At 36.6% G+C, this 20,037-nt stretch overlaps 1 annotated feature.

Moving 5' to 3' along the window:
* Positions 4,865-4,954: an enhancer, noted in NCBI's record as "active region_21769". NCBI's record gives its function as "activates an Ori minimal core promoter by ATAC-STARR-seq in GM12878 lymphoblastoid cells {active_cell/tissue: GM12878}" and the evidence as "EXISTENCE:reporter gene assay evidence [ECO:0000049][PMID:35858748]".

Genomic DNA, 20,037 nt, shown 5'->3' with positions numbered 1-20,037 from the left:
CTTGTAATATAGTTTGAAGTCAGGTAGCATGATGCCTCCAGCTTTATTCTTTTGGCTTAGGATTGACTTGGCAATGCAGGCTCTTTTTTGGTTCCATATGAACTTTAAAGTAGTTTTTTCCAATTCTGTGAAGAAAGTCATTGGTAGCTTGATGGGGATGGCATTGAATCTATAAATTACCTTGGGCAGTATGGCCATTTTCATGATATTGATTCTTCCTATCCATGAGCATGGAATGTTCTTCCATTTGTTTGTATCCTCTTTTATTTCATTGAGGAGTGGTTTGTAGTTCTCCTTGAAGAGGTCCTTCACATCCCTTGTAAGTTGGATTCCTAGGTATTTTATTCTCTTTGAAGCAATTGTGAATGGGAGTTCACTCAAGATTTATCTCTCCGTTTGTCTGTTATTGGTGTATAAGAATGCTTGTGATTTTTGCACATTGATTTTGTATCCTGAGACTTTGCTGAAGTTGCTTATCAGCTTAAGGAGATTTTGGGCTGAGACAAATGGGGTTTTCTAAATATACAATCATGTCATCTGCAAACAGGGACAGTCTGACTTCCACTTTTCCTAATTGAATACCCTTTATTTCTTTCTCCTGTCTGATTGCCCATATCCAACACTATGTTGAATAGGAGTGGCAAGAGAGGGCGTACCTGTCTTGTGCCAGTTTTCAAAGGGAATGCTTCCAGTTTTTGCCCATAGATGCAGAAAAGGCCTTTTACAAAATTCAACAACGCTTCACGCTAAAAACTCTCAGTAAATTAGGTATTGATGGGATGTATCTCAAAATAATAAGAGCTATCTATGACAAACCCACAGCTAATATCATACCTAATGAGAAGTCATCTTAAAGATAGCTGGGAGTACTCATGCCCTACTACCATCAGTAGATAAATGGTATAGATTGGCTGTTCATTCTTTCACTCACTTAATCCACAGAAAATACTCCTATTGGTTTTATCTTTCTCAAGTTCCTTTTCCCAATTTGATATTAAATAACAGGTCTTAAAATGGACAAATATTCTAAAATGAAATTAGCATAATTAAAATATTAGCTTTTATTTTTAATATGTTGATATATTCTATTGTGATGTTCTGCAAATTTTTCACCTTCTAGGGAATATTCTTTCCCAATTACGTTTTTCAGATTTCACAATGAAACTGACATTAAAGAACAAAAACTCTTCAGTTATCTTTTAAAATTCTAGGTGATAGATAATGGAGACTTGGAAGATTGAGGGGCTGTGAGGAGTAAGGATAATAAGAGATTAAATAACAGGTACGATGTATGTTATTTGACTGATGGATACCCTAAATGCCCTGACTTGACCACCACACAACCTATGCATTTAAAAAACTGCACATATATCACATAAATTTATGCAAAAAAATTCTAGGAACACAATATCTCCTTTAGGAAATTCCATGGCAACTTCTTCTATCTGTTAATAGAAAAATAATGAAGCCAGTCATTGTGACAAACTAATACTGTCTATTATTTCTCCATTAATTTTTGTCCTGTACATGAACATTTATAGTCCAATATTATTTTCATCAACTTTTCAGGTATTTGACCTAAATATGAAGCATTCTTTAATTTAAAAATTCCCAGATTAAGTCAGCACAATTTAATTCAATCAATATTTATTAGTTTTCCAATTTGTGCATGATATTTAAGAGACATACAAATAAATAAAATGTTTGCTGATGTCAAAAAAATTTTACTTGCTTTTATACATACATATTTTTGTAGTCGATAATGGTTTTACTATCTTTGAATTCTGCAATATGTCTGCTGCAAAAACTTGTAAATGACTTCTCTGTATTGTAGTGAGAGAGTTTTTAAAAGCCCATTGCTTTTGGTGGGAAACAACATGTCTCTAAGACAGATGCTATCAGGAGTCTTTTCTTGCATTTCTCAGAGATATTTACATGATGTTTACTTCCTGTGTGATATTATCCATTTCTGCACTGCTTTCGGTAGTTAAGGTTAAACACTATTCGTTTTCTGTTTCCCTGTGGTTTGACTGTGTAACTCTTTCATGTTTTCTTATATTCACGTTACCATTTTACTATATAAGGAATCCTGAAAAAGTTTAGAGGGCCTAAAGTGGTGCTTCAATAAACACATTTTAATTCATTCTGTTATTTTCCCGGTAATTTCCCCAATCTCACTTTTGGGGCTCCCTTTCCTCAGGCAAGCACTCTTGTAAAATAGATATCTGCCCTAAAATCCCAACAATATAAGAGGCAAAAAAATACAAAGAAAGTATTAGTATCTCACACCAGGCCTCTTGCAGGATGGGAGGAAATGTAGGGAGAGCATTAGGACAAATACCTAATGCACGCAGGGCTTAAAACGTAGATGACGGGTTGATAGGTGCAGCAAACCACCGTGGCACATATATACCTGTGTAACAAACCTGCACGTTCTGCACTTGTATCCCGGAACTTAAAGTATAATTTTTTTTTTAAAAAAAGCATATGTGGTAAGACAGAATGCAGAGAGATATCTCTTCTAGGTCTTTGAATTATGAATTCTCTGATGCAAAATATACAGTAAAGGAAAATAATCAGTACAAATTCAAAAAGTTACCAAGTTAGGATTTTTAAAAAATCTTAGGAAAGTCACAGAAATTACTATATTTGCTTCTACTGTTATAGATGCCTTGGCTTTAACAAAGCTTATGAAGACAGGGGACTGTCTGTCTATGACTTTTAAGTTTTACTTTGTGCTAAACTTGAATGAATTATTTCAAAATTCTGTAGTTGTCCCATCAAATTCCAAAGTTTGGCTTAGGTATGGTGGCTAAATAATTGATAACGCCTTGCCTTCTCAGTTTTTTTTAATTTGTATAAATTTAAGCTAGTGCAAGTGCAATGTTGTTATATGCATATGTTGTGTAGTGGTGAAGTCTTGGCTTTATTGTATCTACCATCTGAATAGTGTACATTGTACCCATTATGTAATTTCTTATCAATTTCTCTCTTACCGCCTCCCCCACTTCCAAGTCTCCAATGTCTGTCATTCTCCTCTTTGTTCATGCGTACACATTATTTAGCTCCCACTAATAAAGGAAAACTTGGTATTTGAAAAAAATAACGAGTTACCACAATATTTCCATTAGAATTGCTAAAATTAACAAGACTGACAATGTCAAGTCTATCTGAGGATGTGATGTAACTGATACTCTACACATTGATTGTGGGTAACCCAAATGTTACAATTACTTTGACAAACAGTAGAAATTTGCTCAGGAGAAATGAAAACATAGGTTCACACAAAGACTTGTACACTAATGTACACAGAAGCTTTATTTATAGTAGCTCCAAATTTGTTCAACTCCAAATATATATCAGCAGGTTAATGGACAAATTGTGTTATATCCATACAGTGGAATACTATTTTATACTATTAGTATCAATATTATGCAATATTGTTTATACTATTTGGCAATAAGAAGTGAACTGCTGATATACTCAATAACATGGATGAAGCAAAGTCATTGTGCTGATTCACAGAGCCAGTCTAAAATAGAAGATAGTTTATGATTCAATTTTATGCGATAGAAAGATAAATATAGCCCATTGTTACTAAAAGGAAATCAGTACCATAGTTGTCTGTAGCCAGAGTGTAAATGGGAACCTGATTTCAAAGAGTACTAGAGAAATTTGGGGGGCAATAATAATGTTTTATTACTTGTCTGGATTGCTATTTCAGTGCATGTATTTGTCAAAATTCATCCCCTGTACATTTAAAATAAGTTTATTTTATTTTTACTTAAATGAAGTTGTTTCTTAGTAAAACTCTTACCAACCTAAAATAAGAAGTTCAAGTAACAGTGTTAGATGAAAGTGGTCAGAGCTGCCTTCTGTTTTTCATTCTAGTAGTGCGTAATGGTGTTTGCCTATTATGATTGGATATGGACCCTGACAAGGATACATATGACTTATTCCTATGGGATATTCAAAAATTTGTCTTTATGTGTATGTATACATTGTGTGTGTGTGTGTGTGTGTATCAAAGTATATACATATGCACTTTAAAAATGTGTGACCAGGCAAAGTTTGTCAATGTTCATCTTAATAGAAGTTTAATTTCAATAAATAATGAACAGGTGTGAAGACAATGTGTGATATCAGGAGCAATGAAGAGGAAAGCAGGGTACTTTGCATAGGAGGCTGTGGGTACAGCTGGTGTTATTATATAGGAGTTAATGTAAGGGCAATAGACAAGTTTCTGAGGGTGTCCGCTGGCAATGTAGCACCTTTGAATGTTGGTTTTAGAGCCTGTATCTCTGTCATAGGGCTCCAAGTCCAACCAGTAAGCTGATTTAGATGGTTAGCCTACTTTGATGCTACCTGGGAACTTCACCATCTCCGGAATCACTCTCCCTCTCATCTCTGTTCTTCCTGTCTTTATTTTCTTTATGCCAGAATGCATGGCCATCCTATCTAGGTGTCTTATCAGTCAAGGAAGCAGCACCTCTTCCTACTTATACTAACAACTTTCTCTCACTTTTTATTATATAGTTTCTTAATGTCTGAAAGGTAACTCACGTGAAAGAAGATCTCCCATGATCATGCAAGGTATTTTCAGAGACCCATCTCTGGGTGTTTTCTTTAAGCCCCATTTTTTTTTCTAGTACCAATTCTTATTTGCCCAGTATGCATGACTCTTCTCCCTATATTAAGCAAATGAAAAATGCAGAATGAAAAAGTCTAAGAACCACTTCAGACCTCTGTACTCTGTAGCCACTGCTTCCCCTTTTCATGTGCCCTGCCCCCAGCCACTTTTTCATACCTTCTGTTCAAGTTCCAAAGTAGACCTCATCAGTCTTGTTTCTGTAGTACTCCTTGTCCTTAACTTCACCTCATTGCTCTTGCAAATCCTCTGACATGCACCCATGTAATCTGGTTTCCTGGGAAACAAACTTGCTTATTCCTTGAAAGCTTCAGTTACTCATATTTATACAGTGACTATCATTCTCACTTTTTATAGACTATATCTTTGTTGGCTCTACATAAGCAAATAATTGAGAGTCGAAGCAGTTTCTCCTTACAACACTCAACATACTAGCTGTAGCTAAAGGCATTTGGAATAAGCTGTAACTTTGTCTTAATACCTTTCTCTTTCTACTTAATACTATAAGGATATGAGAAAAACAGTTAGTTGTCACTTCTATTTTTCATTTCTTCTCAAAGATAGCTGACTTTTCTTGTTCATGTCATTACTGTCTGAGGAACTTTCATTTTCTTGTGTTCCTATTGTCTTAGTAAATTTGTGCTTCTATAACAAAATATCTGACTCTGGGTGATTTATAAAGAATAGAAATTTATTTCTTACTCTCTAGAGGCTGAGAAGTCCAAGATCACTGTGCTGACAGGCTTTGTGTCTGGTGAGGGCTTCCCTCTCTTCTTCAACATGGCACTGTTTCTGTGTACTCACATGACAGAAGGTGGAAGGGCAAAGGAGTGGCATCAGATGATGCCTCTTTTATAAGGCATTAATCCCATTCATAATGACAGAGCCCTCATGATCTAATCATCTCCTGAAGTCCCCAACTTCTAATATATCACCTTGGTGATTAAGTTTCTTCCTCTTCTTTTTTTTTTTTTTCATTATACTTCAAGTTCTGGGATACATGTGCAGAATGTGCAGGTTTGTTACATAGGTATACATATGCCATGGTGGTTTGCTGCACCCATCAACCTGTCATTTGGGTTTTAAGCCCCCCATGCATTAGGTATTTGTCCTAATGCTATCCCTCCCATTGCTCTCCACCCCCAACAGGCCCCATGTGTGAAGTTCTTCTCCCTGTGTCCATGTATTCTCATTGTTCAACTCCCACTAATTATTGAGAATATGTGGTGTTTGTTTTTCTGTTCCTGTGTTAGTTTGCTGAGAATGATGGTTTCCAGCTTCATTCATGTCCCTGCAAAGGACATGAACTCATTCTTTTTATGGCTGCATGGTATTCTATGGTATATATGTGCCACATTTTCTTTATCCAGTCCATCATTGATCGGCATTTGGGTTGGTTCCAAGTCTTTGCTATTGTAAATAGTGCTGCAATAAACATATGTGTGCATGCATCTTTATAGTAAAATAATTTATAATCCTTTGGGTATATATCTAGTAATGGAATTACTAGGTCAAATGGTATTTCTGGTTCTAGATCCTTGAGGAATTACCACACTGTCTTCCACTGTTACACAATGATTGAACTAATTTACACTCCCACCAACAGTGTAAAAGCATTCCTATTTCTCTACATCTTCTCCAGCATCTGTGTTTCCTGACTTTTTTTCTTTTTCTTTAAGACACAGTCTCGCTCTGTCACCCAGGCTGGAGTGCAGTGGTGCGATCTTGGCTCACTGCAACCTTTGCTTCCCAGGTTCAAGCAATTCTCCCTGCCTCAGCCTCCGGAGTAGCTGGGATTACAGGTGCATGCTACTGTGCCCGGCTAATTTTTGTATTTTTAGTAGAGATGGGGTTTCACCAAGTTGGTCAGGCTGGTCTTGAACTCCTGACCTCAGGTGATCCGCCTGCCTCTGACTCCCAAAGTGCTGCTGTTACAGGCATAAGCCACCGCACCTGGCCTGTTTCCTGACCTTTTAATGATCACCATTCTAACTGGCATGAGATGGTACCTCATTGCGGTTTCGATTTGCATTTCTCTAATTACCAGTGATGATAAGCTTTCTTTAGTATGTTTGTTGGCCACATAAATGTCTTCTTTTGAGAAGTGTCTGCTCATAATATTTGCCCACTTTTTGATAGGGTTGCTTTTTTCTTGTAAAATTGTTTAAGTTCCTTGTAGATTCTGGATATTAGCCCTTTCTCAGATGGACAGATTGTAAAAATTTTCTCCCATTCTGTAGGTTGCCTGTTTACTCTGATGTTAGGTTCTTTTGCTGTGCAGAAACTCTTTAGTTTAACTGGATCCCATTTGTCAATTTTGGCTTTTGTTGCAATTGCTTTGGTGTTTTAGTCACGAAGTCTTTACCTATGCCTGTGTCCTGGATGGTATTGCCTAGGTTTTCTTCTAGGGTTTTTATGGTTTTAGGTCTTACATTAAGTCTTTAATCCATCTTGAGTTAATTTTTGTATAAGGTGTAAGGAGGGTCCAGTTTCACCTTTCTACATATGGCCAGCCAGTTTTCCCAGCACCATTTATTAAATAGGGAATCCTTTCCCCATTTCTTGCTTTTTGTCAGGTTTGTCAATGACTAGATGTTTGTAGATGTGTGGTGTTATTTCTGAGGCCTCTGTTCTGTTCCATTGGTTTATATATCTGCTTTGATACCAGTACCTTGCTGTTTTGGTTACTGTATCCTTGTAGTATAGTTTGAAGTCAGGTAGCATGGTATCTCCAGTTTTGTTCTTTTTGCTTAGGATTGTCTTGGCTATACAGGCTCTTTTTTGGTTCCATATGAAATTTAAAGTAGATTTTTCTAATTCTGTGAGAAAAGTCAGTAGTAGCTTGATGGATATAATTGAATCTATAAATTACTTTGGGCAATAAAGCCATTTTCACAATAAGTTTCAACATGTAAATTTTGGAACAGACATAAACATTCAAATTATAGCACCTATTTTTAAAGCATTTGTTTTCAGTAGAATCTTGGTTTGCAGTCATTCTAGTTTTATTGTCTTATGGGGTCTCTGAAGACTCTCCAAGGGAATTACCTCTTTAACAAGATTTTTGGGGTTTAGAGTTGATATTCAATTACATTTTATTCCTCTTAGTTCTATTACCTCAGATTAGTAAAGTTCATTCCACCTAGATATATCATTGTTTCAGAAGTTGAGAGGGAAATTCTTAAGATTAGTTAGCTAACATTTTGTATTATATAAATTTTTTAATCCTCATTTTGTGGACAGAAATCCAGACTATAGCAGATTATTTGAGATATTCTAGGAGCGAAGTAATATTTGTCGAATTATCATTAGATATTTTCACCATGTTCAATATGTTATCTTTACTGGTCAGAATAGGAGATACAGGTCTCTGTAATTTGGGAAGTTTGTATCAAAAAGTCATAATACGGGAGAAATTACAATAAATGCTTGGGCTTTTCTGTTATGTATCCCTGGTCAAAAGTTCTAAGAGAACTTTTTAGCCTGATTTTCCCAGAAAGAAGAGCCCAAACAGTCTAATGTGCTCTTATTTTATAGGAAAGACAATTCCAGGGACTAGAAGTGAAGAACAACAGTAAAAAAAATTCAAGAAAAGAGGTAGAGCCCAAATGGGGCTGTGGTATTGAGCTGACTGTAGTGTTACACCATGGAAATGACTGTAACTATATCTCCGGACAATCCTGGAGAGGGAAGGTAATAAGGTTTGGCTTTGTGTCCCCACCCATATCTCACCTTGAATTGTAATAATCCCCACATGTCAAGGGTGGGGCCAGGTGGAGAAAATTGAGTTTTGGTGGTGGATCCCCCATACTGTTCTCGTGGTAGTGAATAAGTCTCATGAGATCTGTTAGTTTCATAAATGGGAGTTCCCTTGCACAAGCTCTCTTGTCTGTTGCCATGTAAGACATGTCTTGCTTCTGCTTCACCCTCTGCCATAATTGTGAGGCCTCCCCAGCCATGTGGAATTGTGAGTCCATTAAACCTTTTATTCTTTATAAATTACCCAGTCTTGTGTATGTCTTTATTGGCAGCATGAGAACAGACTAATACCGAAGGCAAAAAACAAAAATAATTGATCTACTAGGCCTTCTTAGCAATTAGTAAGCTTTACCCCATGATGTAATAACTCCCCCATACCACCAGGTTGTGCATGCTGGGCATAGGAGCTGAATGGAGCCCTGTGGTATCACCAGCAAGGCCGCCCTTGGGTGGGAAGCCAGAGGGGAAGGGAAGGGGCTGAAGACGAGGCAGCATCCAGTTACATCTGTGTGAATTTGGTCTGAACACATGGAAACCTGGAACAGGGATGTCAAAAGGGTCTGAAGAAAAGGATAATTGGTGTTGCATACAAAGGTCTTTATTTCTTTTTGCAAGCATGTTTTATCTAAATGTATCTTATATCTCATGGTCTTAGTCTCTGGACTGCCGATGTCCTCTTTCTTACTGAGATTATTTCCCTATTGTATATTGCTGATGGTATTTCTGCTGCTAAATGATACGCATGGAGAATGTTCTAAGATAGATGGAGAGCCTTAGGGGCCATATCTGTAGAGGGAAAAATCTAAGAACATGCTTGGAAGCACAGTTCTTCTCTCCTTTGACTACTTCCTTAGGAGTACTCTTTAAGGACAATTTCTGGCTTGTTACAAGGAGATCTCACATATGTGAGGGCTGTGTATTACACACTTGAGAGTGGCTAAGAACAGCTGGCCATATAGCTGCCAACATTATAACTGACAGAGGATGCTCTGAATCAAAGCCCAAGTGAGGATGTGCAGAATCCTCTGAGGGGGATAAAAACACATTGAAAATAATGCTAAGAAAGAAGTCTCTGTTCACAAGACAATACTGATTTCAAATTTCTTGAAAAATTCTCAGGCTGCAATCATAAATATTACTCTACTTAAAATACACTGATATATGAGTTATGTCATTTGCAAAAAAATATTGTGTAACAGAAAAGGTAAACAGATACATTAGTGTCTACCCACTTTAATTTTATCCTAGGACTAGAATCCAGTCAGATTTTTTTTCTTCCTAGGGTAGGCAGTGCTCCACCAAGAAAGCTATAAATATATTTTCTCGGAAAAATACACTTTGCACATGAACTGTACCGAGATGAGTGCACATACACAAGTTTGCAAGAAATGTCAGACCCTTGAAGTTTCCTTCTTTAATAAATGCAGAAAAAATGATAATTTGACATAGTTTTTTTATGAAACTGGTAATAAGAATTAACTTTTAGCAAACCCAATTTCCCCAATAGAACTGCATGCTTACTTTCTAACAAATTAGGTAAATAATACATGGAACTTTTTTTTTTCATTTTCAGGCAATTATAAAATTTTAAATGTAATTTTTCTCTTTATGAACAAACCTATCTAAGTTCAAATATAAGCCTCAAAATATGAGAAATTCAGGAAGGATAGGATATATGATGAAAGGATAGTAGAGCTGAGAATTTCCCAGTATGGAGACAAAAAGGCTAAGGGGAGGTATGATAGCTTCTGAAAATATGTTAAGGGATGTTATCAGGAGGACAGGGACCAATTCTTATTAGCCAATGAGAGCAGAACAGGAAGTAATGAACTTCAACTACAGCAGGGAAATTTAAGTGAAATATAAGAAAACTTTTAAACTGTCAGAACAATTAAGCAAAGGTACAAATAATAAATTCACCTTTACTGATCATATTCAATGATGCTCTGATGAGCATCATTTTACTCTCTCTCCATGAGTTCATTTTTTTTACGTCCTATATATAAGTGAGTACATGCAGTATGTATCTTTCTGTGCCTGGCTTATTTCACTTAACACAGTGTCCTCCAGTTCCATCCATATTGTTGCAAATGCCAGGATTTTATTCTTTGTTATGGCTGAATAATATTTTATTGTGTATATGTACCACATTTTCTTTATCCATTTATCTCTTGATGAACACTTGATGACTCCATATCTTGGCTATTGTGAATACTGCTGCAATAAACATGAGAGTGCAGACATCTCTTCCATATACTGATTTCCATTCTTTTGGATATATCCCAAGTGATGGGATTGCTGGATCATATGGTTGCTCTATTTTTAGCTTTGTGAGAAACCTCCATACTGTTCTCCATTGTGGTTATACTAATTTACATTCCCACCAACAGCATATGAGAGTTCCCTTTTCTCCATATCCTTGCCAGTATCTGTTATTGCCTGTCCTTTTGATAAAAACCATTTTAACTGGGGTGAAATGATATCTCATTGTTTTGATTCACATTCCTCTGATGATTAATGTGTTGAGCACTTTTCATATGCCCATTGGCCACTTGTATGTCTTCTTTTGAGAAATGCCTATTCAGATTTTTTTCTTTAAAATTTTTTAACTTTCAAGTTCATATCATTTGCCCATTTTTTTGTTTTTATTTCTTTTTATTAGAGAACACATACAAAAGAAGGGAGAACAGTGTATAGTAAAGCTTCATGCACCCATCACCCAGTTTCCACAATGATCAATGTTTAGCCCCTCATTTTTTTGGTGGGGGAAGTAATAATATAATTATTATAAATTAATAGCATAATTATATAGAATTTAGTTATTAAAGTAATAATTATATAGTTATGAATTGTATTGTTATAGACTATATAATATGCAATAATGTAATATATAATTTATAATATAATAATTATGTATACTATATAATATAATAATCTTATTGGCAAGGAGTTATTTTTTCTTTATTTTAATAGGTTTTTGGAGAACAGGTGGTTTTTGGTTATATGGATAAGCTCTTTAGCGGTGATTTCTGAGATTTTGGTGCACCCATCACCCGAGCAGTGTACACTGTACCCAATGTGTAGTCTTTCATCCCTCAGCCCCCTCCCACCTTCCCCCGAATTCTCAAAGTTCATTGTGTCATTCTTATACCTTTGTGTCCTCATAGCTAACTTCCACTTATAAGTGAGAACATATGATGTTTGGTTTTTCATTCCTGAGTTACTTCACATAGAATAATGATCTCCAACTCCATCCAGGTTGCTGAGAATGACATTATTTTGTTCCTTTTTATGGCTGAGTAGTATTCTATGGTACATACATACCGTATTTTCTTTATCCACTCATTGATTGATGGGCATTTGGGCTGGTTCCATATTTTTGCAATTGCAAATTGTGCTGCTATAAACATGCGTATACAAGTGTCTTTTTTATATAATGACTTCTTTTCCTTTGGGTAGATACCCAGTAGTGGGATTGGTGGATCAAATGGTAGATCCACTTTTAGTTCTTTAAGGAATATCCACACTGTTTTCCATAGTGGTTATACTACTTTACATTCCCACCAGTAGTGTAAAAGTGTTCCCTTTTCCTCACATCCACATCAACATCTATTATTGATTTTTTAATTATGGCCATTTTTGCAGGAATAAGATGATATTGCATTGTTGTTTTGATTTGAATTTCCCTGATAATTGGTGATATTGAGTATTTTTTCATATGTTTGTTGGTTACTTGTATATCTTCTTTTTAGAATTGTGTATGCATGTCCTTAGCCCACTTTTTGATGGGATTGTTCATTTTGTTCTTGCTGATTTGAGTTTCTTGTAGATTATAGATATTAGTCCTTTGTTGGATGCATAGTTTGCAAAGATTTTCTCCCACGCTGGGTTGTTTGTTTACTCTGTTGATTATTTATTTTGCTATGCAGAAGCTTTTTTAGCTTAATAAATTCTCATTTATTTATCTTTGTTTTTGTTGCATTTGCTCTTGGATTCTTGGTCATGAAGTCGTTGTCTAAGCCAATATCTAGAAGGGTTTTGTTCAGTGTTATCTTCCACAGTTTTTATGGTTTCAGGTCTTAGATTTAAGACTTTGATTCATCTAGAGTTGATTTTTGTGTAAGGTGAGAAATGAGGATCCAGTTTTATTCTTCTACATGTGGCTTGCCAATTATCTCTGCCTTCTGCCTGTTTTAAAAATTAAATTATGGCTGGGCGTGGTGGCTCACACATGTAATCCTAGCACTTTGGGAGGCCAAGGCGGGTGGATAACCTGAGGTCAGGAGTTCGAGACCAACTGGGCCAACATGGCAAAACGCTGTCTCTACCCAAAATGCAAAAATTAGCTGGGCGTGGTGATGGACACCTGTGATCCCAGCTACTCCGGAGGCTGAGGCAGGAGAACCGCTTGAACCCGGGGAGCGGAGGTTGCAGTGAGCCAAGATCATGCTACTGTACTCCAGCCTGGGCGTAAGAATGAGACTCGGCGGGGCGCGGTGGCTCTCGCCTGTAATCCCAGCACTTTGGGAGGCCGAGGCAGGTGGATCATGAGGTCAGGATATCAAGACCATCCTGGCTAACACAGTGAAACCCTGTGTCTACTAAAAATACAAAAAATTAGCCGGGCGTTGTGGCAGGTGCCTGTAGTCCCAGCTACTCAGGAGGCTGAGGCAGGAGAATGGCATCAACCTGGGAGGCGGAGCTTGCAGTGAACCGCAGTGAGCCGAGATTGTGTCACTGCACTCCAGCCTGGGCAACAGTGCGAGACTCCGTCTCAAAAAAAAAAAAAAAAAAAAAAAAAAGAGAAAAAGAAAATTATATGTTTTTTTTTTGTTTTTGTTTTTCCTAATTAGTTTGAACTCCTTTCATATTCTGGTTATTAATCCTTGTCACACGAGTAGTTTGCAAATATTTTCTTCCATTCTATCAGTTGTTTCTTTACTGTGTTGATTTTTTTTTTTTCTGTGTAGAAGTTTTTGTTGTTATCCTATTTATATACTTTTGCTTTGGTTGCCTGTGCATTTGAGGTCTTAGGAAATTTTTGCCTAGGCCAATGTCCTGGGGCTTTTCCCCAATGTTTTGTTCTAGTAGTTTCATAGTTTCAGGCCTTAGATTTAAATCTTTAATCCGTTTTTATTTGATTTTTTATATAGTGAGAGGTAAGAGTCTAGTTTTCTTCTTCTACATATGAATATCCAGTTTGCCCAGCACCATTTATTGAAGAGACTCTTTCCCCAATGTGTGTCCTTCATGCCTTTGTTGAAAATGAGTTGATTGTAAATCTGTGGATTTATTTCTGGGTTCTCTATTTTGTTCTTTTGGTTTATGTGTCTGCTTTTATGCCAGTACCATGCTATTTTGCTTACTTTTAGTATTAGAGTTTTAGTATAATTTAAAGTCAGGTAATATGATGCCTCCAGCTTTTCTTTTCCCCCTCTCAGGATTGCTTTCCCTATTCAGGCTCTTTTTTGGCTCCACATGAATTTTCAGATTATTTTTTCTATTTCTGTGATGAATGTCATTGCTATTTTGATGGGGATTGCATTGAATATGTAATTCACTTTGGGAAGTATGAACATTTAAAAAATATTGATTCTTTTGATCAATGAACATAGAATATTTTTTAATTTTTGTGTGCTTTAATTTCTTTTTCTTTTTTTTACTCTAAGTTTTAGGGTACATGTGCACAACGTGCAGGTTTCTTACATATATATATATGTGCCATGTTGGTGTGCTGCACCCATTAACTCCTCATTTAACATTAGGTATATCTCCTAATGCTATCCCTCCCCTCTAACCCCACCCCACAACAGGCCCAGGTGTGTGATGTTCCCCTTCCTGTGTCCACGTGTTCTCATTGTTCAATTCCCACCTATGAGTGAGAACATGGGGTGTTTGGTTCTTTGTCCTTGCGATAGTTTGCTGAGATTGATGGTTTCCAGCTTAATCCATGTTCCCACAAAGGACAGGAACTCATCCTTTTTTATGGCTGCATAGTATTCCATGGTGTATATGTGCCATATTTTCTTAATCCAGTCTATCATTGTTGGACATTTGGCTTGGTTCCAAGTCTTTGCTATTGTGAATAGTGCCTCAATAAACATATGTGTGTATGTGTCTTTATAGCAGCATGATTTATAATCCTTTGGGTATATACCCAGTAATGGGATCGCTGGGTCAAATGGTATTTCTAGTTCTAGATCCCTGAGGAATCGCCACACTGACTTCCACAATGGTTGAACTAGTTTACAGTCCCACCAACAGTGTAAAAGTGTTCCTATTTCTCCACATCCTCTCCAGCACCTGTTGTTTCCTGACTTTTTAATGATTGCCATTCTAACTGGTGTGAGATGGTATCTCATTGTGGTTTTGATTTGCATTTCTCTGATGGCCAGTGATGATGAGCATTTTTTCATGTGTCTTTTGGCTGCATAAATGTCTTCTTTTGAGAAGTGTCTGTTCATATCCTTCGCCCACTTTTTGATGGGGTTGTTGGTTTTTCTCTTGTAAATTTGTTTGAGTTCATTGCAGATTCTGGATATTAGCCCTTTGTCAGATGAGTAGATTGCAACAATTTTCTCCCATTCTGTAGGTTGCCTGTTCACTCTGATGGTAGTTTCTTTTGCTGTGCAGAAGCTCTTTAGTTTAATTAGATCCCATTTGTCAATTTTGGCTTTTGTTGCCATTGCTTTTGGTGTTTTATACATGAAGTCCTCGCCCATGCCTATGTCCTGAATGGTATTGCCTAGGTTTTCTTCTAGGGTTTTTATGGTTTCAGGTCCAGCATGTAAGTCTTTAATCCATCTTGAATTAATTTTTGTATAAGGTGTAAGGAAGGGATCCAGTTTCAGCTTTCTACATATGGCTAGCCAGTTTTCCCAGCAACATTGATTAAATAGGGAATCATTTTCCCATTTCTTGTTTTTGTCAGGTTTGTCAAAGATCAGTTTGTTGTAGATATGTGGCATTATTTCTGAGGGCTCTGCTCTGTTCCATTGGTCTATATCTCTGTTTTGGTACCAGTACCATGCTGTTTTGGTTACTGTAGCCTTGTAGTATAGTTTGAAGTCAGGTAGCGTGATGCCTCCAGCTTTGTTCTTTTGGCTTAGGATTGACTTGGCAATGCGGGCTCTATTTTGGTTCCACATGAACTTTAAAGTAGTTTTTTCCAATTCCATGAAGAAAGTCATTGGTAGCTTGATGGGGATGGCATTGAATCTATAAATTACCTTGGGCAGTGTGGCCATTTTCATGATATTGATTCTTCCTACCCATGAGCATGAAATGTTCTTCCATTTGTTTGTATCCTCTTTTATTTCATTGAGCAGTGGTTTGTAGTTCTCCTTGAAGAGGTCCTTCACATCCCTTGTAAGTTGGATTCCTAGGTATTTTATTCTCTTTGAAGCAATTGTGAATGCGAGTTGACTCATGATTTGTCTCTCTGTTTCTCTGTAGTTGGTGTATAAGAATGCTTGTGATTTTTGGCTGCATAAATGTCTTCTTTTGAGAAGTGTCTGTTCATGTCCTTCGCCCACTTTTTGATGGGGTTGTTTGTTTTTTTCTTGTAAATTTGTTTGAGTTCATTGTAGATTCTGGATATTAGCCCTTTGTCAGATGAGTAGGTTGCGAAAATTTTCTCCCATGTTGTAGGTTGCCTGTTCACTCTGATGGTAGTTTCTTTTGCTGTGCAGAAGCTCTTTAGTTTAATTAGATCCCATTTGTCAATTTTGGCTTTTGTTGCCATTGCTTTTGGTGTTTTGGACATGAAGTCCTTGCCCACGCCTATGTCCTGAATGGTAATGCCTAGGTTTTCTTCTAGGGTTTTTATGGTTTTACGTTTAACGTTTAAATCTTTAATCCATCTTGAATTGATTTTTGTATAAGGTGTAAGGAAGGGATCCAGTTTCAGCTTTCTACATATGGCTAGCCAGTTTTCCCAGCACCATTTATGAAATAGGGAATCCTTTCCCCATTGCTTGTTTTTCTCAGGTTTGTCAAAGATCAGATAGTTGTAGATATGCGGCATTATTTCTGAGGGCTCTGTTCTGTTCCATTGATCTATATCTCTGTTTTGGTACCAGTACCATGCTGTTTTGGTTACTGTAGACTTGTAGTATAGTTTGAAGTCAGGTAGTGTGATGCCTCCAGCTTTGTTCTTTTGGCTTAGGATTGACTTGGCAATGCGGGCTCTTTTTTGGTTCCATATGAACTTTAAAGTAGTTTTTTCCAATTCTGTGAAGAAAGTCATTGGTAGCTTGATGGGGATGGCATTGAATCTGTAAATTACCTTGGGCAGTATGGCCATTTTCACGATATTGATTCTTCCTACCCATGAGCATGGAATGTTCTTCCATTTGTTTGTCTCCTCTTTTATTTCCTTGAGCAGTGGTTTGTAGTTCTCCTTGAAGAGGTCCTTCACATCCCTTGTAAGTTGGATTCCTAAGAAATGCTCATCATCACTGGCCATCAGAGAAATGCAAATCAAAACCACTATGAGATATCATCTCACACCAGTTAGAATGGCAATCATTAAAAAGTCAGGAAACAACAGGTGCTGGAGAGGATGCGGAGAAATAGGAACACTTTTACACTGTTGGTGGGACTGTAAACTAGTTCAACCATTGTGGAAGTCAGTGTGGCGATTCCTCAGGGATCTAGAACTAGAAATACCATTTGACCCAGCCATCCCATTACTGGGTATATACCCAAAGGACTATAAATCATGCTGCTATAAAGACACATGCACACGTATGTTTATTGCGGCACTATTCACAATAGCAAAGACTTGGAACCAACCCAAATGTCCAACAATGATAGACTGGATTAAGAAAATGTGGCACATATACACCATGGAATACTATGCCGCCATAAAAAATGATGAGTTCATATCCTTTGTAGGGACATGGATGAAATTGGAAACCATCATTCTCAGTAAACTATCGCAAGAACAAAAAACCAAACACCGCATATTCTCACTCATAGGTGGGAATTGAACAATGAGATCACATGGACACAGGAAGGGGAATATCACACTCTGGGGACTGTGGTGGGGTCGGGGGAAGGGGGAGGGATAGCATTGGGAGATATACCTAATGCTAGATGACACATTAGTGGGTGCAGCGCACCAGCATGGCACATGTATACATATGTAACTAACCTGCACAATGTGCACATGTACCCTAAAACTTAGAGTATAATAATAATAAAAAAAAAAAAAAAAAAAAAAAGAATGCTTGTGATTTTTGTACATTGATTTTGTATCCTGAGACTTTGCTGAAGTTGCTTATCAGCTTAAGGAGATTTTGGGCTGAGACGATGGGGTTTTCTAGATATACAATCATGTTGTCTGCAAACAGGGACAATTTGACTTCCTCTTTTCCTAATTGAATACCCTTTATTTCCTTCTTCTGCCTGATTGCCCTGGCCAGAACTTCCAACACTATGTTGAATAGGAGTGGTGAGAGAGGGCATCCCTGTCTTGTGCCAGTTTTCAAAGGGAATGCTTCCAGTTTTTGCCCATTCAGTATGATATTGGCTGTGGGTTTGTCATAAATAGCTCTTATTATTTTGAGATATGTCCCATCAATAACTAATTTATTGAGAGTTTTTAGCATGAAGGGCTGTTGAATTTTGTCAAAGGCCTTTTCTGCATCTATTGAGATAATCATATGGTTTTTGTCATTGGTTCTGTTTATATGCTGGATTACGTTTATTGATTTGCATATGTTGAACCAGCCTTGCATCCCAGGAATGAAGCCCACTTGATCATGGTGGGTAAGCTTTTTGATGTGCTGCTGGATTTGGTTTGCCAGTATTTTATTGAGGATTTTTGCATCGACGTTCATCAGGGATATTGGTCTAAAATTCTCTTTTTTGGTTGTGTCTCTGCCAGGCTTTGGTATCAGGATGATGCTGGCCTCATAAAAATGAGTTAGGGAGGATTCCCTCTTTTTCTATTGATTGGAATAGTTTCAGAAAGAATGGTACCAGCTCCTCCTTGTACCTCTGGTAGAATTTGGCTTTGAATCCGTCTGGTCCTGGACTTGTTTTCATTGTTAAGCGCTTTTTTTACTTTGGTAACTTTATTTTCAGGTATTTTATTTGTAGCTATCATTAATGGGATTATTTTCTTGGTTTCATTTTCAGATTGTCTGCTATTGGCATAAAGAAACAGTATTGATTTTTGTATGTTTATTTTGTATCCTGTAGCTTTAATAAATTTGTTTTCTAATAGTTTTTCAGTGGGGTCTTCAGGTTTTTCTAAATATAAGACCATATTTCCTGCAAAGAAGAGTAATTTGAATTTTTCTTTTCCAATTTGGATGACTTTTATTTCTTTATCTTGTTTAATTTTTCTAGCTAGGACTTCCAGTGCCATGTTGAATAAAAGTGGTAAGTGGGCATCCTTGCCTTGTTCCACATCTTAGAGGAAAGGCTTTCAGTTTTTCCGTATTCACTATGATACTGACTTTACTGGATGTGGCCTTTACTGTGTTGAGGTATGTCTGTTCTGTACTAAACAATTGTTGAAAGTTTTTATCATGAAGAGATGTTGAATTTTATCAAATACTTTTTAAGCATTTATTGAAATGATTATGTGGTTTGTCCTTCATTCTGTCGACGTGATGTATCACATCTATTGTTTTCCATGTGTTGAGCCATCCTTGCATCCCAGGGATAAATCCCACTTGGTCATAATGAATGATCTTTTTAATGTGTTGTTGGATTCAGTTTGCTAGTACTTTGTTGAGGATTTTTGCATCTATGTTAGTCAGAGATATTGGCCTGTAGTTTTCTGTTTTTGTCATGCCTTTTTCTGGTTTTGGTTATCAGGGTAATACTGATCTCATTGAATGAGTTTGGAAGTACCGCCTTCTTATTTTTTTTTGAAATAATTTGAGTAGGATTGATATTAGCTCTTTAAATGTTTGACAGAGTTTAGCAGTGAAGCCATCAGGTCCTGGGTTTTGCTTTGATAGGAGACTTTTTATTATTCCTTTTATGTCATTACTTGTTACTGATCTATTTGGGTTTTCTATTTCTTTATGGTTTAATCTTGGTAGATTTTATGTGTCTAGGATTTTATCCATTTCTTCTAGGTATTTGGCATGTAGTTATTAATAATAATCTGTAATTATCTTTTGAATTTACGTGGCATCAGTTGTAAAGTCTCCTGTTTCATCTCTGATTTTATGTATTTGGGTCTTCTCTCTTTTTTTCTTAGTTTGTCTAGCTAAGGGTTTGTTACTTTTGTTTATCTTTTCAAAAAGTCATATCTTTATTTTGTTGATGCTTTGTATTTGTTTAGTCTCAATTTCATTTATTTCTACTCTGATCTCTATTATTTCTTTTGTTCTATTAATTTTGTGTTTGATTTGCTCTTGCTTTTCTAATTCTGTAAGATGCGTTGTTAGGTATTTTATTTGAAATTTTTCTACTTTTTTGATGTAGGCATTTATTTCTATAAACTTTCCTCTCAGCACTACTTCTGCAATATCCTATAAGTTTTGATATATTGTGTTTCTATTTTCACGTGTTTAAAGATTTTTAAAATTTTCTTCTTAATTTCTTCATTGACCTAATGGTCATTCATAAGTATATTACTTAATCTCCATGTGTTTGTATACTTT

This window comes from Homo sapiens, chromosome 4, assembly GCF_000001405.40.
Source record: "Homo sapiens chromosome 4, GRCh38.p14 Primary Assembly".
Taxonomy (NCBI): domain Eukaryota; kingdom Metazoa; phylum Chordata; class Mammalia; order Primates; family Hominidae; genus Homo; species Homo sapiens.
This window is presented reverse-complemented; position numbering and strand designations above follow the sequence as displayed.